This window comes from Homo sapiens, chromosome 4 (genome assembly GCF_000001405.40).
Source record: "Homo sapiens chromosome 4, GRCh38.p14 Primary Assembly".
Lineage (NCBI taxonomy): Eukaryota > Metazoa > Chordata > Mammalia > Primates > Hominidae > Homo > Homo sapiens.
In genome coordinates, this window is record NC_000004.12 from 39,654,269 (window position 1) to 39,676,490 (window position 22,222).

The window sequence follows — 22,222 nt, forward strand, 5'->3', positions numbered from 1 at the left end:
GGTATGTCTTTTGGTTTTTGTTTCACAGGACATTATTGCTAGAGGAGAATTTGCCTAAGGAAGATATAGACTTGGTTAATGATAGGTTATGATTCCTTTTTTTTTTTTTTTTTTTGAGATGGAGTCTTGTTGTCTCCCAGGCTGCTGGAGTGCAATGGTGCAATCTCGGCTCACTGCAACCTCTGCCTCCTGGATTCAAGCGATTCTCCTGCCTCAGCCTCCCAAGTAGCTGGAATTACAGGTGCCCACCACCAAGCTTGGCTAATTTTTGTATTTTTGGTAGAGATGGGGTTTTTCAATTTTGGCCATGCTGGTCTAGAACTCCTGACCTCAGGTGATCCACCCACCTCTGCCTCCCAAAATGCTGGGATTACAGGTGTGAGGCACCGTGCCCAGCCAGATATTAATATTAACTAAATATATTCTTTTTTTTTTTTTTCGAGATGGAGTTTCACTCTCGTTACCCAGGCTGGAGTGCAATGGCACAATCTTGGCTCACCGCAACCTTTGCCTCCTGGGTTCCAGCGATTCTCCTGCCTCAGTCTCCCAAGTAGCTGGGATTACAGGCATGTGCCACCACACCCGGCTAATTTTTTTGTATTTTTAGTAGAGACAGGGTTTCACCATGTTATCCAGGATGGTCTCAATCTCCTGACCTCGTGACCTGCCCGCCTCAGCCTCCCAAAGTGCTGGGATTATAGGCGTGAGCCACTGCGCCCAGCAATATTAACTAAAAATATTCTAAGACAATACAGGCATGCAGTTAGATTATCATCAGTGCCCTGTTTAAAAGATTTAAAAAGTCTGGGCTAATGCCTATAGTCCCAGCACTTTGGGAGGCTGAGGCAGGAGGATCACTTGAGCCCAGGAGTTTGAGATCAACATGGGCAACATTGTGTCTATTATTTTTTTTTTTAAAAAGGAAAACAAAAAAAAAGGTAAAATATATTAAGGATAGAATATTACCTAATTTAGGGGGAAATGGAGAAAAACTAATAAGCAGAATATTTTGACTTCAGAACCCCACTACTTAAGAGGGAAGTCAAAACTGGCTGTTCCAATTCCAATTCCAACCATCCTCAACACATAGCAGTTTACTTGACATTAAAATACTTGGCTACACTTTCAGTTGCTATGATATCAGGATGTAGTTGGCCAAGAGTGTGGTCAGATTCCAAAAAATGATGTTATGATAGTCAAACATACAATATAGTTTAAACATAATCTAGAGTCTCCTCTAACTCCAAGCTAAGGGCATCATGGTTCATATCTAAACTGAGAGTGTGAGAAAATGTAAAGAAAGGTGTTCATGGATAAATTGGTATGTTTTGTGAAATGTTTTGTAGCATCCAACGTGAATTGAAATGGGAAGAAGTTGGAAACAGAAACCTACCAAGAAATCACTTTTAGTTCTTGAGTATTAATTAACTAGGGCCAGAGCAAAAGTTTTGAGAGAGCATAAGATCAGTTGAATCCAGCAGATAAGAATGAAAGAGATGATATTTGGCAATATTTTGAAAACATAGTATTAAGCAGTCTTACCTTAAAATTATAGAAAACAATATATTAATATTTGTATTTGGACTGGACAAAATCTATGACTAAAATTTCTAGGCAGAATGATCTATAACGGGTGGAGGCCTGCTTTTCCTACTGGAAGACTACTTACAAACATAATTTAAGACCAGATACAATTTCGATGATTAAATCATAGAACTACTGAGTAATATAAGGCCAAGGACAGAAACTGTGGTTATTTAGTGATTGAATAAACATGACATAGAAACAGAACACACAGTACTTGGCTTTGATAAGTAGTTCTCCACCCAAATACTGAAAATCATAAGCAATGACTGCCATTAAATTATGGATGACTCTGCCCGCCAGTTGTTTGCAAGCAGAGTAAATAGACCATCAGGGACAGGGTAAAGTGAAACTTAATAGTCATTAGCCAGCAATAGTTGAGCAATTTTTTTTTTTTTTTTGAGATGGAGTCTTGCTCTGTCACCCAGAATGGAGTGCAGTGGCACAATCTTAGCTCACTGCAACCTCCACCTCCCAGGTTTAAGCGATTCTCCTGCCTCAGCCTCCCGAGTAGCTGGGATTACAGGTGTCTGCCACCATACCCGCTAATTTTTTTTGTACTTTTAGTATAGAGGGGGTTTCACCATGTTGGCCAAGCTGGTCTCGAACTCCTGACCTCAAGTGATCCACTCGCCTTGGCCTCCCAAAGTGCTGGGATTACAGGCGTGAGCCACTGCACCTGGCCTTTTTTTTTTTTTTTTTTTGAGACAGAGTCTCACTCTGTCACCCAGGCTGGAGCATGATCTCGGCTCACTACAACCTTCCCCTCCCGGGTTCAAGTGATTCTTGTGCCTCAGCCTCCTGTGTAGCTGGGATTACAGTGCACACCAACACGCCCAGCTAATTTTTTGTATTTTTAGTAGAGATGAGGTTTCGTCATGTTGCCCAGGCTGGTCTCAAACTCCTGAGCTCAGGCAATCCACCCACTTCAGCCTCCCAAAGTGCTAGGATTACAGGCGTAAGCCACTGCCCCAGGCCATCTTGAGCAATTTTGATGTGCCAGGTCTTGTGCTATGCGTTGGGCATAGTATATAATTTTCCCAATAATGCTGTAGCTCAGCAGTCCCCAACCTTTTTGGCACCAGGGACTGGTTTTGTGTAAGACAGTTTTTCCACCGGCTGGGGTAGGGGTAACAGGGGGAGGGGGATGGTTTCAGGATGAAACTGTCAACTATAAATCATCAGGCATTAGATTTTCATAAGGAGCACGCAACCTAGATCCCTCACATGCACGGTTCACAATAGGGTTCGTGTTCCTACGAGAATCTAATGCTGCCGCTGATCTGACAGGAGGTGGAACTCAGGCAGTAATGCTCACTCAAGACAGGGTTTCACCATGTTGGCCAGGCTGGTCTCAAACTCCTGACCTCAAGGGATCCGCCCGTCTCGGCCTCCCAAAGTGCTGGAATTACAGGCGTAAGCCACCGCACCCGGCCAGCAAAATTTTATTGGAAACTCAAACAACTATTGCCTGGGCTCTTGGAATTCTCACTATTCTGAGGTAAAGCTACAAGCCATGTGTTTGATTTGGATACATCTGGGATTTTCAAGTTCTGGGATTTTTTTTTTCACCCTAAGTTGATTAACAAAGATGGACTAATAGAAGTCAACCTCAGGTTCGCTCTTTAAACCGAGATCAAAACCTAAACAGCCAGTTCTCTGCTGCCTCGTCCTGGTTTCCTTTAATTGTCAAGAATTAAAAGGTGTAGAAGGCATTTCTTCAGAGAGAGAAGGGGAGAGGGAGAGAGAGAGGAAATGAAAGTCAAGCTACTGTGAAACCTAAAGTTCCATGAAGTTAAAAAAAAAAAGTCCCTAACCAAATAGTCTAGTTCTCTATCACTCAGAATCTCAATCACTTTGTAAGTCTCACCCAGGTAAGTGTCCAGACATGACCATGGAGGGAAGAATAAGCAGGAATTTGTCTGCTTCTGCTTTCTGGTAGTACTTTTTTTTTTTTTCAAGACGGAGTCTCGCTGTGTCGCCCAGGCTGGAGTGCAGTAAACTGATCTCAGCTCACTGCAAGCTCCACCTCCCGGGTTCACGCCATTCTCCTGCCTCAGCCTCCCGAGTAGCTGGGACTGCAGGCGCCTGCCACCACACTCAGCTAATTTTTTGTATTTTCGGTAGAGACGGGGTTTCACCGTGTTAGCCAGGATGGTCTCAATCTCCTGACCTCGTGATCCACCCACCTCAGCCTCCCAAAGTGCTGGGATTACAGGCGTGAGCCACCGCGCCCGGCCGCTAGACAGTACTTTCAAAACAATTTTTGCATTTCCATGGTAACTCCAAATCCCTCATCCTTGTCTTACTCCATTATGGGTCCTGATACACATCCAGTAACCTTCCTGAAAGGTATGGTTGAGAGAAATAGGATGAGTGAGAAGATTGGAAAGGGGAGGCAATGCAGACCTAGAAAACCACTGAGTAATTATAAATTAACATTTTCAACATATGACATAGGGCAATGACAGGGAAAACAGTTCCCATATATTATATTGTATGGAGGAAATTTGCTTCTACTTCCCTTTCTTCTCATCCCTTTTTTCCTTTATCACCTTTTACAGCTTTTTTTTTTTTTTTTTTAGACGGAGTCTTGCTCTGTCGCCCATGCTGTAGTGCAGTGGCGCGATCTCAGCTCACTGCAAGCTCCACCTCTCAGGTTCACGCCATTCTGCTGCCTCATCCTCCCAAGTAGCTGGGACAACAGGTGCCCACCACCACGCCCGGCTAATTTTTTTTGTATTTTTAGTAGAGACAGGGTTTCACCGTGTTAGCCAGGATGGTCTCAATCTCCTAACCTCGTGATCCGCCCACCTTGGCCTCTCGAAGTGCTGGGATTATAGGCGTGAGCCAACACGCCCGGCCTACAGCTTTTTTTGTTTCTTTTTATTGGATTTACATTTTTTCAATATGTTCTTTGTCTCACTGGTCCTCCTTTTCATTTTTCTTTCCACTGCTTATTACATTGTAGATATTTATATTTAAAAAGTTGCCACACTGCACTTTTTGTTCTGTGTCTTGAATAAAAATGGGGCAAGAGGAGAAGTTTAAGATATAAGAAATTTGTGTTAGGTTCATTTTCTGCCTCTGTAGAGAAATAGTGCCTTCTAGTGTTTGCAACAATCTGTGGGGTTTTCTTTTTGTTTTGTTTTATTTTGTTTGTTTTTGTTTTTTTGTTTTTTCCAGACGGAGTTTTGCTCTTGTCGCCCAGGCTAGAGTTCAGTGGTGCTATCTGGGCTCACCTCAACCTCTGCCCCCGGGTTCAAGCAATTCTCCTGCCTCAGCCTCCCTAGTAGCTGGGATTACAGGTGCCTGCCACCATGCCCATCTGATTTTTGTATTTTTAGTAGTAGAGACGGGGTTTCACCATGTTGGCCAGGCTGGTCTCGAACTCCTGACCTTATGTGATCTGCCCGCCTCAGCCTCCCAAAGTGCTAGGATTACAGGCATGAGCCAGCCACCATACCAGGCTATTGCAATAACATTTGTATTTGCACCATTTCAGTTCATCTGAAAAGTAAAATAATATTTTTTAGAAAAAAAGTTTTATGCTTTTTGAAGTTCTCCTGCCATATTTATTAAATATATGCATACCATTATTATCTCCATTTTAGAGATAAAAAGCTAGAATCATAAAACATTTATTTAGGGGCTGGGCACAGTGTCTCACTTCTGTAATCCCAGCATTTTGGGAGGCCAAGGCAGGAAGATCACTTGAGCTCAGGATTTCGAGACCAGCCTGGGCAACATAGGGAGATACTATCTCTACAAAAACATTAAAACATCAGCTGAGTGTGGTGGCACACACAGTCTCAGCTGCTCAGGAGGCTAAGGTGGGAAGATTGCTTGAACCCAGGAGTTTGAGGCTAAAATGAGCCATGATCGTGCCACCACACTCCAGCCTGGGCAACAGAGAGAGACCATGTCTTAATCAAAAAACAAATTTATTTATTAGTGAGTTGATGATAGCACTTAAACCAAACATATGAAAGGGTTTAAAAAATGTGGCCGGGCACAGTGGCTCACGCCTGTAATCCCAGCACTTTGGGAGGCCAAGGCAGGCAGATCACCTGAGGTCAAGAGTTCGAGACCACCCTGGCCAACATGGAGAAACCCCATTTCTACTAAAAATACAAAAATTAGACAGGCATGTTGGTGTGTGCCTGTAATCCCAGCAACTTGGGAGGCTGAGGCACGAGAATCGCTGGAACCTGGGAGACGGAGGTTGCAGTGAGCCGGGATTGCACTACTGCACTCCAGCCTGAGAGACAGAGCAAGACTCTGTCTCATTAAAAAAAAAAAAAGATGCGTTTCTTGTAAAACATTCCCCACTCAGCTGCCATCAGTCATCAAATGGTGAGAAGACAGATCACAAAAATATGATTCATAATAATGCCAAACCCACGAAGATGATGCCACAGAAAGAGAATTGCAAAAGCTGATTGTTGGAGGACAGTTGCATGAACAAGAAATGTTATGGGAGGGTTGCTCAAACTCTAATCTCTCAAGGTAACCCTTTTAGGAGTGATTGAAGATATGTCTTCTTTGGTTCTGCTGCTCCTGAGTCACCTTTATTTCTCCTAGAACTGTCATGTTTCTCTGGAAAAGAACCACGCTCTCAGAGAAGCAGACATATTCCTTAAGAGATTTACCAGATGTGAGAATTTAGTTGTAGCCCTGTATTTCCCAGCTTCCTGTGGGTTTGTATAAGCATTCCCTGAAATGGATTCTCACTTGTTGACTATCATGAAAATGTGAGAAGAGGTATGTGTGTGTTTATATCCATAATATTAGGCAGGGTTCTCCAGAGAAAAACAACTAATAGGGTGTGTATATACATGTATATATATGCATACAGATATATAAAGAGATTTATTATAAGGAATTAGTTCATGTGATTGTGGAGGGTGACAAGTTTCATGATCTGCAGGATGAGGTGGCAAGCTGAAGAGCTGATGGTGTAGTTCCAGTCAGAGTCTGAAGGCCTGGGAACCAGGACAGCAATGTTTCAGTTTGAATCTAAAGGGAAGAAAAATTATCTTGTATTTGAGATAGTTTTTTTGGTGAATTTTTTTGTTCTGTTCAGGCCTTCAACTGATTGGATGAGACCCACCCACATTAGGGAAGGCAATCTGCTTTACTCAGCCTGCAGATTCAAATATTAATTTCGTGTGTGTGTGTGTGTGTTTGTGACGGAGTCTTGCTCTGTCGCCCAGGCTAGAGTACAGTGGCACGATCTCGGCTCACTGCAACCTCTACCTCCCCAGTTCAAGTGATTCTCCTGCCTCAACCTCCCGAGTAGCTGTGATTACAGGCGCCCACTACCGCACCCGGCTAATTTTTGTATTTTTAGTAGAGACAGGGTTTCACCGTGTTGGCCAGGCTGGTCTGGAACTCCTCACCCCGTGATCCACCCGCTTGGCCTCCCAAAGTGCTGGAATTACAGGCGTGAGCCACCACACCCAGTCTGTTTTTTTTTGTTTTTTGTTTGTTTGTTTGTTTGTTTGTTTTTTAAGAGACAGAGTCTTGCTCTGTCACCCAGGCCAGAGTGGTGCAGTCGTATGATCCTTGCTCACTGCAGCTTTGAACTCCTGGGCTGAAGCCATCCTCTGCTTCAGCCTCCTAAATAGCTGGGACTACAGCCCGTGCCACCATGTCCAGCTAATTTTTTTTTAGGGAGACAGGATCTTGCTGTGTTGCCCAGGCTGGTCTCAAACTCCTGGTCTTAAGTGATCCTCTCACCTCAGCCACCCAAGGCACTGGGATTACAGGCATAACCCACCTCACCCAGCCCTCAAATGTGCCTAGAAACACTTTCACAGACACACTGAGAATGTTTTACCAAATATCTGGGCACCCCATGGCATAATCAACTTGATACATAAGATTAACCATAGCCAGGCATGGTAGATCATGCCTGTATTCCCAGGACTTTGGGAGGCCGAGGTGGGCAGATCACCTGAGTTCAGGAGTTCAAAACCAGCCTGGCCAACAGGGCAAAACCTCATCTCTACTAAAAATACAAAAATTAGCCGGGTGTGGTGACATGCATCTGTAGTCCCAGCTACTCGGGAGGCTGAGGCAGGAGAATCATTTGAACCTGGGAGGTGGAGGCTGCAGTGAACTGAAAATACAGGAAAATAAAAAATTAAAAAAAAAAAGCAGCAGCAGCTTGTCATTCCATAATTAGGAGAAGGAGAAAACCATCTTTGAAATTTTGCTGTGTTTGGGCTGGGCACGGTGGTTGGTTCAGCCTTGTAATCCCTGCATTTCGGGAGACCAACCTGGGAGGATTGCTTGGGCCCAGGAGTTTGAGACCAGCCTGGGCAATGTCGTGAGACCTCATCTTTCTCTCTCTATATATATTTTTTGAGATGGAGTCTGGCTCTGTTGCCCAGGCTAGAGTGCAGTGGTGTGATCTCAGCTCACTGCAATCTCCACCTCCCAGGTTCAAGCGATTCTCCTGCCTCAGCCTCCAAGTAGCTGGGACTATAGGCACCCACCAGCACACCCGGCTAATTTTTGTATTTTTAGTAGAGACGGGGTTTCACCATATTGGCCAGGCTGGTCTGGAACTCCTGACCTTGTGATCCCTCCACCTCGGCCTCCCAAAGTGCTGGGATTACAGGCATGAGCCACCACGCCCGGCCTATAATTTTTTTTTTTTTTTTTTTGAGATGGGAGTCTCGCTCAGCCGCCCAGCCTGGAGTGTGGTGGCAGGATCCCGGCTTACTGCAACCACTGTCTCCCATGTTCAAGCGATTCTCCTGTCTCAATTTCCTGAGTAGCTGGGATTACAGGCACCCGCCATCATGCCCAGCTAATTTTTTTTGTATTTTAATAGAGACAGGGTTTCACCATGTCGGCCAGGCTGGTCTTGAACTCCTGACCTCAGCTAATCCGCCCACCTCGGCCTCCCAAAGTGCTAAGATTACAGGTGTGAGCCACCGCACCCGGTCAATTTTTTTTTTTTAATTAGCCGGGCCTGGTGCCCAGAAGGTCAAGGCTTCAGTGAGCTATGATCATTCCACTGCACTTCAGCCGAGGTGAAAGAGTGAAACCCTGTCTCAAAAAGAAATTTTGCTGTGTTTGCCTTATACTTCTGACCATGGTGGAACAATTGATAGTGGATAGCTCTCCCACTGAAATCAACTGTAAAACTGGACAAAACATATGTAGTAACTATATTCAGGCAGAATAAAGTAAACAGCAGAAGACTGCAATTTCTGAGAGAAAGGAAACTCATGAGGTGAGCCCCATGATTGATCAGCTGTCTGCCTGGGGACAACTCCCTAACTATAATGCAGAGGGCTTGATTCTGAGCAGAGCATAGCGGTCCTGCTGACTGAGGTTGTAGATACGAGAGTCTGGGACCACTGAGCTAAGTGAAATCTCTGGGGCAAGGCATTAGAGAGGAACCAAGCTATGCAGAAAAGTCTTTATCAACACAGAAAAAGCGTTTGACAAAATTTCTTTTTTTTTTTTTTCATTTTTTTCCCCACACTACATAGATGCTTTTTTTTTTTTTTTTTTTTGAGAGAGAGAGTCTCGCTGTGTCACCCGTGCTGGAGTGCAGTGGCATGATCTTGGCTCACTGCAACCTCCGCCTTCCAGGTTCAAGTGATTCTCCTGCCTAAGCCTCCTGAGTAGCTGGGACTACAGGCGCCCGCCACCACGCCCGGCTAATTATTTTTTTTTTTGTACTTTTAGTAGAGATGGAGTTTCAGCATGTTGGTCAGTCTGGTCTTGAACTCCTGACCTCAAGCCTCAAGTGATCCACCTGCCTCGGCCTCCCAAAGGGCTTGGATTACAGGTGTGAGCCACTGCACCTGGCCTTTTTTGTTTTGTTTTGTTTAGAGAGAGAGATGGAGTCTTAGTATGTTACCCCCAGGTTGGTCTAGAACCCCTGGGCTCAAGCAATCCTCCCACCTCAGCCTCCCAAAGTGTTGGGCCTACAGGCGTGAGCCACCACATCCGGCCCAACATTCAACAAAATTTAATAACCATTCATGACATAAATTATCAGGGAACTAGGAATAGATGAGAACTTCCTTTGAAGTTTAAGTAGAAACATGTACAAAAATTACAACTAGTATATTTAATGGTAAAATAGTGAATGCTTTCTCCTCGAGACTGGGAATAAAGCTAAGATAACCACATTTACTACTTCCATTATATTGTATCAGAGGTCTTATCAAATATAGCAAGGCAAAAATAAAGATATAGAAATTCAAAAGTCCTGGAATTTGAAGACCCCAAGAACCAGGAGCTCCAATGTCTAAGCATGGGAGAAGATGAATGCCCCAGCTCAAAAAGAGAGAGAGTGAATTTGCCCTTATTCCACGTGTGTGTGTGTGTGTGTGTGTGCGCGCGCGCGCGCGCATGACGGAGTCTCACTCTGTCACCCAAGCTGGAGTGCAATGGCGCAATCTCGGCTCCCTGCAACCTTTGCCTCCTGGATTCAAGCAATTCTCCTGTCTCAGCCTACTGAGTAGCAGGGACTACAGGTGTGCATCACCACACCCAGTTAATTTTTGTATTTTTAGTAGAGATAGGGTTTCACCATGTTGGTCAGCCTGGTCTCGAACTCCTGACCTCAAGTGATCCACCTGCCTCAGCCTCCCAAAGTGCTGGGATTACAGGCGTAAGCCACCGCGCCCAGCCTCTTCTTCCACCTTTTTATTCTATTTGGGTTCCCAATGAATTGAATGATGCCCATCCACATTTATGAGGGCAGACCCTCTTTACTCAGTCAACTGATACAAATGCTGGTCTCTTCCAGAAACACCCTCACAGACACATCCAGAAATAATGTTTTACCAGCTATCTGGGCATCCCTTAGTCCACCCAAGTTGACCCCAAATTAACTATCACACCATCTTACCAGCTCCCTTTCCCACATCCAAACAATCACTGAATCCTGTTAATGTAACTTCTAAGTCAGCTTAAGTTTTGGCATTCTCTCTTTTTCAGTACCAATTCTTAGATCACTGCCTAGACTAATAAAATAATCTCTTAATTGGTGATTCTGCCTAGAGTCAGCTCTTCACAAATCATCCTGTGTGTTGTTGCCAGGGTGTTCTTTCTGAGATCTTTCTCTAACTATGTCATTTCCCCATTTAAAACCCTCTGCAGGACAGGACAAAGTTCAAATTCCTTTACATCTGAATCCCATTCTCCACCTTATGCATTGCACTGGAACATTGTAAATCTCTTTGTTTCCTGCACACATCATGCTCTTGTACATGGTGTTCTGCTGCCTGGAATGTCCTTTCCACCTTGACTTCTTGCTGCATACCTATTCATCCTTTCAAATCTGGTGCCTGCAACCACTTGCTGGTGTTCTGTGACACTTTCTTGAATCTCACAGTGAGAATATCCTCCTCTGCACTATTTCACGACCTTGCACATAGTTCATTTGTTTCATACATCACACACTGTTGTGTTACGTATTGACATGGCTGTCTTCACAACTAGGCTCTGAGCACCTTAAAGGCTGGGACTGACGCCAGTCACAATCTAATGCAAAGGACAGTGCTGTTATGGAAATGTTTATTGAACTGAACTGAAAATCCTGCCACATAAAGAGAGCTTAGGAAGGACAGAGAAGAGATAGAATGCTGAAAATGCCAAGCATAAACTTTGCAGTGGCTGAATTGTAAGAAATTCACCCAAAGAGTCAGCTCTGAGTCACCTCTTTTGAGGTTCAAAATCACACAAATGAAGCAACTGAACATAGAATTTAACCACTTACTTTGAAGAGGGTTTCTTGCTAGCCATTCAGGAAAATACAAAATGATGCAAATATCTTTTTAAAATAAAGAATATATAGAAATTCAAATCAAGTATTAAAATGTAAGGCTAGTTCACCTCCTCAGAGAGAATGAATAACTTGGAAGAGGAAAAAATGGTCTAAAAATTTCTATTAGGATAGTATCTCTTCTTTTTCCTGCATTATCATTTTGTATTTTCTAAGAGATAGAACTCACTTTCTGTTCCTACCATTTTATAAGGCCTCTATTTTAGCAGTAAATTGGTTGAATTACTGCCTGAAACTCTACATTTTAGATGAAATATTATAAATAGGATATTTTGTGAATTGCAGTTACTTGTTACATAAAGGAACAGCTATAAAAACGCATCGAAATAGGTAAGACATTTTGAAAAGCAAGATTTTGTATTGAACTGTCTGTGATGCATTGTAATAGGTTAGTCCAAAAATACTAACTTGGTTTTCTTTTCTTTTTTTTTTCTTTTTTCTTTTTTTTAGCTCAAAGCACCTGTCATAAAAATATTAACTTGTAATAAAAGTGTTTAGTAACACTAATATGTGATGGCAATTTCAGGAAAGTCAATGTTCTGAGCAAGAAGAACAAGGAACAGAAGGTATAATGATAACAGATGAGAGAGGAAAAAGCAGACTCAATCAACTCCTACTTTTCCATCATTTTTCCGTTACAGAGAATTATCCTCAAATTAGAAGGAGTAGGACCTACATGGTAAAGAAAAAATTTACGTGCAAGGCAGATGAGGAAGTAAGAGAGCATCCAGCCCCTTCACACAACTTCATTCTCTGTCTTACCGAAAGAATGTGAAATGTGGTGGTAGCTTTACTGGGGACAGGAGAGGTGCCAGAAGTTTGAAGATGGACTAATCTCCTTGTTTTCTAAAAGAAGAACCTATAAGTCTCTGAGCACATTTTTCTTTGGCAAAATTCTGGAATGGATAATTAGACAAATGGTTTGTGAATCTTTAGAAAAGTGGCAAAAACAAGGCACAGCATAAATTCACTAAAAAATAAGTGGACCTAAACTAAGCATTCTTTCTTCCTGATAGGAATCCTACTTTCCTTGGTCTGACACCTGCAGGGTCAAGTATGGGCCTTGGAGTCAGCTGAGGCTGAATTCCAATTCCAGTTCCACCACTCCAAAAGTGACACTTGGACACCAAATTCTCTGAGACCCTCCTGTAATGCAAATTTAGTGGAGCTACTTTGGGGTTAGCTCTCTCTCCCCCAGGGCCTTCCTTGAGACCAGTTTCACACATGGTCTCATTACAAAACAGTAACAACAAAAACCCCAATTTTGGAGGCATTAATAAATAATGGGGATTATATTATACATAACAAAGCAAAATATTCATAAAAATCATCTTCTATAACCTGGGTCTGGCTGGGTGCAGTGGCTTACACCTGTATTCCCAGCACCTTGGGAGGTCAAAGTGGGCAGATCGCTTGAGCCCAGGAGTTCCAGACCAGCCTGGGCGACATAGGAAAACCCCATCTCTACAAAAAATACAACAATTAGCCAGGAATGATGGTGGGTGCCTGTAGTCCCAGCACTAGGGAGGCTAAGGCAGGAGGATCACTTGAGCCCAGGAGTTTAAGACCAGCCTGGTTAACATAGGAAGGCCCCGTCTCTTCCAAAAATACAAAAATTAGACCAGGCACGGTGGTTCACACCTGTAATCCCAGCATTTTGGGAGGCCAAGGCAGGTGGATCACCTGAGGTCAGGAGTTTGAGAGCAGCCTGGCCAACAAGGTGAAACCATGTCTCTACTAAAAATACTAAAATTAACCAGGACTGGTGGCGGATGTCTGTAATCCCAGCTACTTGGGAGGCTGAGGCAGGAGAATCCCTTGAACCCAGGAGGCAGAGGTTGCAGTGAGCCAAGGTTATGCCATTGCACTCCAGCCTAGGAAACAAGAGTGAAACTCTGTCTCGGAAAAAAAAAAAAAGCTATGTATGATGGTGGGCACCCATAGTCTCAGCTACCAGGGAGGCTGAGGTGGGAGGATCACTTGAGCCCAGGAGGTCAAGGCTGCAGTGAGCCGTGATTGCACCACTGTACTCCAGGCTTGGCAACAGAGCAAAAAATAGAACCTGACTCCTTCCCTAAAATTCTTCCCTTAGGAATCTACATCATTTCCTTCACCTCTTAACTCCCTGAAAACAACAAAAACAAAACAAAACAAAAAAAAGCAGCTACTACTTTCTCTACAACTTCTCCAGGCATACTTCTCTTTCTGCTTTCCCAGTGGTCATTAAAAGAAAAGGCAGCCAACAATATTTGGAAAAACAAACGTGGTTAGCTAAAACTAGACCACACTCATGTAGGCATTACAGGTCCTCAATCCTTCTCCCATAATAAAAATTAAAACAATAATACTTAGAAAGTTTTTGAGGGGACTAAGTTAAAAGTAATCTATCAAGGCTAGGTGTGATGGCTTACACCTATAATCCCACCACTTTGGGAGGACAAGGCCGTAGGACGGATTGAGGCCAGGAGTTCAAGAGCAGCCTGAGCAACACACTAACACGCTGTCTCTACAAAATATATATCTATATCTATATATATCTATATATAGATATATACAGATTTTTTTTTTGAGACAATGCCTTGCTCTGTCAGCCAGGCTGGAGTGCGGTGGCACGATCTTGGCTCACTGCACCCTCTGCCTCCCAGGTTCAAGCGATTCTTGTGCCTCACCCTCCCAAGTAGCTGTGATTACAGACATGCACCACCACACCCAGCTAATTTTTGTATTTTTAGTAGAGAGGGGGCTTCACCATGTTGGCCAGGCTGGCCTCAAACTCTGATCCCAAGTGATCCACCTGCCTCGGCCTCCCAAAGTGCTGGGATTGCAGGCAAGAGCCACCATGTCCAGCCTCTATAAAAAAATTTTAAAAATTAGCTGGGTGTGGTGGCATGCACTTGTAGTCATAGCTACTTGGGAAGCTGAGGCGAGAGGATTGCTTGAGCCTAGGAGGTTCAGGCTGCAATGAGCCATGACTGTGCCATTGCACTCCAGCCTAGATGATAGAGCAAGCAAGACCCTGTCTCAAAAAAACCCCAAACACACACAAACACACACACACACTTAAAGCTTGATCTGGCCACTCAATAAATGATAGTTTTTATTATTCATTACTGTTCTTACTACTGTGGTAGATCAAGAAAATGGTGTGGAACCTATGTCCTTCTTATTTAGAGGCATTTGACAAATCTTCATGAAGAAGGAGGGCTGGATGATAGCACAGTTTATTGGAAGCTGAGATTATGCAAAGGTTGAAATAGAAATTTCTAGCAATTTGTCAAAGGCCTCTATGACCCTTTACTGTTAAGCCTTTTTATGAATGACTTGGCATGAACAAGCATGGAGGAAGCATGCTTGTCAAATCTGCAGATAATACAAAACAGGGAGGGCTTGATGGATGAACGGCTGAATGACAGAATGCACATTTCAGGAGATCTAAAAAGGCTGAGCCAAGAAGGAATTTAAAGCTGAGTATGTGTGCTTGAAAAACATAACTGCTGCATAAAAACAGAATGATGAGACTTGGATTTACTAGTATTGCAAGTGAAAAAATACTGGAACATCTTGTTGACTACAAGCTCAAAAATGAACCATCTGTCGTTGTATAAAAGCTAAATAGCAATTGCAACAATGATGGCCCTACACACAGAATATTTCCTTTTTTTTTTTCTTTTCTAAAATAATTTTTAATTAAAAAGGAAATAGAGATGGGGTATTCTTGTGTTGCCCAGGCTGGTCTTGAACTCCTGTGCTTAAGCAATCCTTCCGTCTTGGCCTCCCCAAAGTGCTGGGATTACACACATGAAGCCACCATGCCCAGCCTATGTTCTTATTTCCCTACAGCATCAAGTAGTGGTGTCATAGCCTGAAGATCCCACGTTCTAGTTTTGGCTCTCCAGCATTTACTAGCTGCATGACCTTGGGCATGTTGGTGAAATTTTCTGAGTCTTAACCCTGAAATTCAAAAGAGGTAGGGAGGAGAGTTTGGACTAATTTATTACTTTGTGTTTGTGTGTGTGTTTGTGTGTGAATGAGACAGGGTCTCACTCTGTCACCCAGGCTGGAGTGCAGTGGTTCAATCATAACTCACTGCAGCCTTGAATTCCTGGGCTCAAGCAATCCTCCTGCCTCAGCCTTCTGAGTAGCTGGAACTATAAGCATGCACCACCATGCCTGGCTAATTTTTTTTTTTTTTTTTTTTTTTTGAGACAGAGTCTCTCTCTGTTGCCCAGGCTGGAGTGCAGTAGCACGGGCTCGGCTTGCTGCAACCTCCACCTCCCAGGTTCAAGCGATCCTCCTGCCTCAGCCCCTCTAGTAGCTGGGATTACAGGCACGCGCTGCAATGCCCGGCTGATTTTTGTATTTTTAGTAGAGATGGGGTTTCACCATGTTGGCCAAGCTGGTCTCGAACTCCTGACCTCAGGTGATCCACCCTCTTCAGCCTCCAAAGTGCTGGGATTACAGGCGTGAGCCACCATGCCCAGCCATGCCTGGCTAATTTTTTTTTTAATTATACTTTAAATTCTGGGATACACGTGGAGAACATGCGGGTTTGTTACATAGGTATAGACATGCCTTGGTGGTTTGCTGCACCTATCAACCTGTCATCTACATTAGGTATTTCTCCTAATGCTATCCTTCCCCTTGCTCCCCATCCCCTGACAGGCCCTGGTGTGTGATGTTCCCCTCCCTGTGTCCATGTAATCTCATTGTTCAACTCCCACTTATGAGTGCAAACATGTGGTGTTTGGTTTTCTGTTCCTGTGCTAGTTTGCTGAGAATGGTGGTTTCCAGCTTCATCCATGTCCCTGCAAAGGACATGAACTCATCCTTTTTTGTGGCTGCATAGTATTCCATAGTGTGTATGTGCCACATTTTCTTTATCCAGTCTATCATTGATGGGCATTTGGTTTGGTTCCAAGTCTTTGCTATTGTGAACAGTGCTGCAATAAACATACGTGTGCATGTGTCTTTATAGTAGAATGATTTATAATCCTTTGTGTATATACCCAGTAATGGGATTGCTGGGTCAAATGGTATTTCTGTTTCTAGATCCTTGAAGAGTCACCACACTGTCTTCCACAATGGTTGAACTAATTTACACTCCCACCAACAGTGTAAAAGTGTTCCTATTTCTCCACATCCTCTCCAGCAACTATTGTTATCCTGACTTTTTAATGATTGCCATTCTTTTTTTTTTTTTTTTTTTTTGAGACGGAGTCTCCCTCTGTTGCCCAGGCTGGAGTGCCATGGCACGATTTTGGCTCACTGCAAGCTCTGCCTTCCGGGTTCATGCCATTCTCCCGCCTCAGCCTCCCGAGTAGCTGGGACTACAGGAGCCTGCCACCACGCCCAGCTAAATTTTGGTATTTTTAGTAGACACGGGGTTTCACCATATTAGCCAGGATGGTCTTGATCTCCTGACCTTGTGATCTGCCCGCCTCAGCCTCCCAAAGTGCTGGGATTACAGGCATGAGCCACCATGCCCAGCCCTAATGATTGCCATTCTAACTGGTATTTCCTTGTGGTTTTGATTTGCATTTCTCTAATGACCAGTGATGATGAGCTTTTTTTCATCTGTTTGTTGGCCACATAAATGTCTTCTTTGGAGAAGTGTCTGTTCATATCTTTCGCCCACTTTTTGATGGGGTTGTTTGTTTTTTTTCTTATAAATTTGTTTAAGTTCTTTGTAGATTCTGGATATTAGTCCTTTGTCAAATGGATAGATTGCAAAAATTTTCTCCCATTCTGTAGGTTGCCTGTTCACTCTGATGATAGTTTCGTTTGCTCTGCAGAAGCTCTTTAGTTTAATTAGATCCCATTTGTCAATTTTGGCTTGTGTTGCCATTGCTTTGGTGTTTTAGTCATGAAGTCTTTGCCCATGCCTATGTCCTGAATGGTATTGCCTAGGTTTTCTTCTAGGGTTTTTATGGTTTTAGGTCTTATGTTTAAGTCTTTAATCCATCTTGAGTTAATTTTTGTATAAGGTATAAGGAAGGGGTCCAGTTTCAGTTTTCTGCATATGGCTAGCCAGTTTTCCCAACACCATTTATTAAATAGGGAATCCTTTCCCCGTTGCTTGTTTTTGTCAGATTTGTCAAAGATCAGATGGTTGTAGATGTGTGGCATTATTTCTGAGGCCTCTGTTTTGTTCCATTGGTCTATATATCTGTTTTGGTACCAGTACCATGCTGTTTTGGTTACTGTAGCCTTGTAGTAAGTTTGAAGTCAGGTAGCGTGATGCCTCCAGCTTTGTTCTTTTACTTAGGATTATCTTGGCTGTACAGGATCTTTTTTGGTTCCATATGAAATTTAAAGTAGTTTTTTCTAATTCTGTGAAGAAAGTCTATGGTAGCTTGATGCAGATAGTATTGAATCTATAAATTGAGCAGTATGGCCATTTTCACGATATTGATTCTTCCTATCTATGAACATTGACTGTTTTTCCATTTGTTTGTGTCCTCTCTTATTTCCTTGAGCAGTGGTTTGTAGTTCTCCTTGAAGAGGTCCTTCACATCCCTTGTAAGTTGGATTCCTAAGTATTTTATTCTCTTTTTGGCAATTGTGAATGGGAGTTCACTCATGATTTAGCTCTCTATTATTGGTATATAGGAATGCTTGTGATTTTTGCACATTGATTTTGTATCCTGAGACTTTGCTGAAGTTGCTTATCAGCTTAAGGAGATTTTGGGCTGAAACAGTGGGGTTTTCTAAACATACAATCATGTCATCTGCAAACAGGGACAATTTGACTTCCTGTCTTCCTATTTGAATACCCTTTCTTTCTCTCTCTTGCCTGATTGCCCTGGCCAGAACTTCCAATACTATGTTGAATAGTAGTGGTGAGAGAGGGCATCCTTGTCTTGTGCCAGTTATCAAAGGGAATGCTTCCAGCTTTTGCTCATTCCATATGATATTGGCCGTGGGTTTGTCATAAATAGCTCTTATTATTTTGAGATACATTCCATCAATACCTAGTTTATTGAGGGTTTTTAGCATGAAGGGTTGTCGAATTTTTATCAAAGGCCTTTTCTGCATCTATTGAGATAATCCTGTGGTTGTTGTCATTGCTTCTGTTTATGTGATGGATTACTTTTATTGATTTGTGTATGGTGAACCAGACTTGTATCCCAGGGATGAAACCGACTTGATCATGGTGGATAAGCTTTTTGATGTGCTGCTGGATTTGGTTTGCCAGTATTTTATTGAGGATTTTCACATCAATGTTCTTCAGAGATATTGGCCTGAAATTTTCTTTTTTTGTTGTGTCTTTGTCAGGTTTTGGTATCAGGATGATGCTGGCCTCATAAGATGAGTTAGGGAAGAGTCCCTGTTTATCTATTGTTTGGAATAGTTTCACAAGGAACAGTACCAGCTTCTCTTTGTACCTCTGGTAGAATTTGGCTGTGAATCCATCTGGTCCTGGACTTTTTTTGGTTGGTAGGATACTTATTACTGCCTCAATTTCAGAACTTGTTTTTGCAGTGGCTGGTACCGGTTTTTCCTTTCCATATTTAGTGCTTCCTTCAGGAGCTCTTGTAAGGCAGGCCTGCTGGTGACAAAACCTCTCAGCATTTGCCTGTCTGTAATGGATTTTATTTCTCCTTTGCTTATGAGGCTTAGTTTGGCTGGATGTTAAATTCTGGGTTGAAAATAACTTTCTTTAAGAATGTTGAATATTGGCCCCTACTCTCTTCTGGCTTGTAGGGTTTCTGCAGAGAGATCTGCTGTTAGTCTGATGGGCTTCCCTTTGTGGGTAGCCTGAACTTTCTGGCTGCCCTCAACATTTTTTCCTTCATTTCAACCTTGGTGAATCTGATGATTATGTGTCTTGGGGTTGCTTTTCTCAAGGAGTATCTTTGTGGCGTTCTCTGTATTTCCTGAATTTGAATGTTGGCCTGTTTTGCTAGGTTGGGGAAGTTCTCCTGGATGATATCCTGAAGAGTCTTTTCCAACTTGGTTCCATTCTCCCTGTCACTTTCAGGTACACCAATCAAACGTAGGTGTGGTCTTTTCACATAGTCCCCTATTTCTTAGAGGTTTTGTTCATTCCTTTTCATTCTTTTTTCTCTGATCTTGTCTTCACACTTTATTTCATTAAGTTGATCTTCAGTCTCTGATTATCCTTTCTTCCACTTAATCAGTTCAGCTATTGATACTCATGTATGCTTCACGAAGTTCTCGTGCTGTGTTTTTCAGCTCCATCAGGTCATTTATGTTCTTCTCTAAACTGGTTATTCTAGTTAGCAATTCCTCTAACCTTTTTCCAAGGTTCTTAGCTTCCTTGCATTGGGTTAGAACATGCTCCTTTAGCTCAGAGGAGTTTGTTATTACCCACCTTCTGAAGCCTACTTCTGTCAATTAGTCAAACTCATTCCCTGTCCAGTTTTATACCCTTGCTGGTGAGGACTTGTGATCCTTTGGAGGAGAAGGGGCGTTCTGGTTTTTGGAATTTTTAGCCTTTTTGCACTGGTGTTTCCTCGTCTTCGTGAATTTATCTACATTTGGTCTTTGATGTTGGTGACCTTTGATGGGGTTTCTGTGTGGACAACATCCTTTTAGTTGATGTTGATGCTATTCCTTTCTGTTTGTTAGTTTTCCTTCTAACAGTCAGGCCCTTCTGCTGTAGGCCTGCTGGAGTTTGCTGGAAGTCCACTCCAGACCCTGTTTGCCTGGGTGTCACCAGTGGAGGCTGCAGAACAGCAAAGATTGCTGCCTGTTCCTTCCTCTGGAAGCTTCATCCCAGAGGGGCACCCGCCAGATGATGCCTAGCTAATTTTTTTCAAGTTTTTGGAGAGATGGACTCTCCCTATATTGCCCAGGCTGGTCTTGAACTCCTGGCCTCAAGGGGTCCTTCTGCCTGAGCTTCTCAAATTGTTGGGATTACAGATATGAGCCACTGGACCTGGCCAGGACTAAATTATTTCTGAAAAAAACTTCTGGCCATGAAATTATATTTCAATTATTTAATTCAAAGCCACTAGTTATTTTAAGCAATTTAGCTTAGCAGATTAACTGATTGCCATTTTAGATAATGGATACATTAGTGGTTGTAAATGGTATAAATCCAATTCAAATTATTGCAGGCAAAACAGGATTCTATAGGCTCTTAGAATTCAAGAAATGGTTAAGCAGTGAAACAGTGGGAAGGACAGAGATTCAGCTGAGCCTTGGGAACCCTGATATTCACACTAAGATAGTAAGGTTTAAAAGTAAGATTTGACGGCCAGGCGCGGTGGCTCACGCCTGTAATCCCAGCACTTTGGGAGGCGGAGGCGGGCGGATCATGAGGTCAGGAGATCGAGACCATCCTGGATAACATGGTGAAACCCCGTCTCTACTAAAAATACAAAAAAATAGTCGGGCGTGGTGGCGGGCGCCTGTAGTCCCAGCTACTCGGGAGGCTGAGGCAGGAGAATGGCATGAACCCAGGAGGCGGAGCTTGCAGTGAGCCGAGATCCTGCCACTGCACTCCAGTCTCTGGGCGACAGAGCGAGACTCCGTCTCAAAAAAAAAAAAAAAAAAGTAAGATTTGAAATTGGTTACTTGATTTGGATGTGAAAGCCAGCCTTGGCCGATGAATTACAGAAAGCAGAAGGGAGAGGAGCAAGAACTAAGCTTTGCTGAATGTCTACTATGTGTCAGGTTCTGTGTTAAATTATTTCAAGAAATCTATCTATTTTAATCCTTACCAAAAAGTATAGAAACTGAAGTTTAGAGTGTTTTAAGAAACTTGCGTAAAGTCAAGTGGTAGGGCCGGATGCAGTGGCTCATGCCTGTAATCCCAGCACTTTGGGAGGCCGAGGCAGGTGGATCACTTGAGGCCAGGAGTTTGAGACCAGCCTGGCCAACATGGCGAAACCCCGTCTCTACTAAAAATACAAAATTTGGCTGGGCACGGTGGCTCACGCCTGTAATCCCAGCACTTTGGGAGGCCGAGGTGGGTGGATCATGAGGTCAGGAGATGGATACCATCCTGGCTGACGTGGTGAAACCCCGTCTCTACTAAAAATACAAAAAAAAAAAAAAAATTAGCCAGGTGTGGCGGCGGGCGCCTGTAGTCCCAGCTACTCTGGAGGCTGAGGCAGGAGAATGGCATGAACCCAGGAGGCAGAGCTTGCAGTGAGCTGAGATCACGCTACTGGACTCCAGCCTGGGTGACAGAGCGAGACTCCATCTCAAAATAAATAAATAAATAAATAAATAAATAAATAAATAAATAAATAAATAAAATAAAATAAAAATACAAAATTTACCCGAGCATGGTGGCCCGCTCCTGTAATCCCACCTACTCAGGAGGCTGAGACAGGAGAATTGCTTGAACCTGGGAGGTGGAGGTTGCAGTGAGCGGAGATCGTGCCACTGCACTCCAGCATGGGCAACAGAGCGAGACTGTCTGGAAAAAATAAATAAATACACACACACAAAAATAAGCAAACTAAAAGTAGAACCAAAGAAGTGGCAGTGACCAATAATTTTCCCTGGTTTGGTTTAATGATGCTCAGCTAATAATATGCTTGCAAATAAATATTTCTTTTTCTTTTCTTTTCTTTTCTTTTCTTTTTTTTTTTTAGACAGAGTTTGCTTTTATTGCCCAGGCTGGAGCACAATGTTGCGTTCTCGGCTCACTGCAACCTCCGCCTTCTGGGTTGAAGCGATTCTCCTGCTTCAACCTCCCAAGTAGCTGGGATTACAGGTGCCCACGACCATGTCCAGCTAATTTTTGTATCTTTAGTAGAGATGGGATTTTGCCATGTTGGTCAGGCTGGTTTCGAACTCCTGACCTCAGGTAATCTGCCCACCTCGGCCTCTCAAAGTACT

At 43.2% G+C, this 22,222-nt stretch overlaps 1 long non-coding RNA gene across 4 annotated transcripts in view, besides 1 other annotated feature; it reads left to right on the forward strand.

Annotated features, from left to right (window-relative positions):
- Nucleotides 1–12,396, forward strand: part of SMIM14-DT (SMIM14 divergent transcript) — a 27,525-nt gene extending 15,129 nt beyond the window's left edge. For 3 of the 4 annotated variants that reach the window (NR_183842.1, NR_183843.1, NR_183844.1), the window contains one exon: nt 11,855–12,396. This is a non-coding gene — a long non-coding RNA (SMIM14 divergent transcript). Of the gene's footprint in view, nt 1–6,168; nt 6,349–11,854 lie in introns of all 4 variants that reach the window. The other variant, NR_183845.1, reaches the window with a different exon arrangement.
- Nucleotides 3,367–3,567: a silencer, noted in NCBI's record as "peak5027 fragment used in MPRA reporter construct". NCBI's record gives its function as "represses an SCP1 promoter by STARR-seq MPRAs in K562 erythroleukemia cells {active_cell/tissue: K562}" and the evidence as "EXISTENCE:reporter gene assay evidence [ECO:0000049][PMID:32103011]".
- Nucleotides 12,397–22,222: the final 9,826 nt, after the last annotated feature.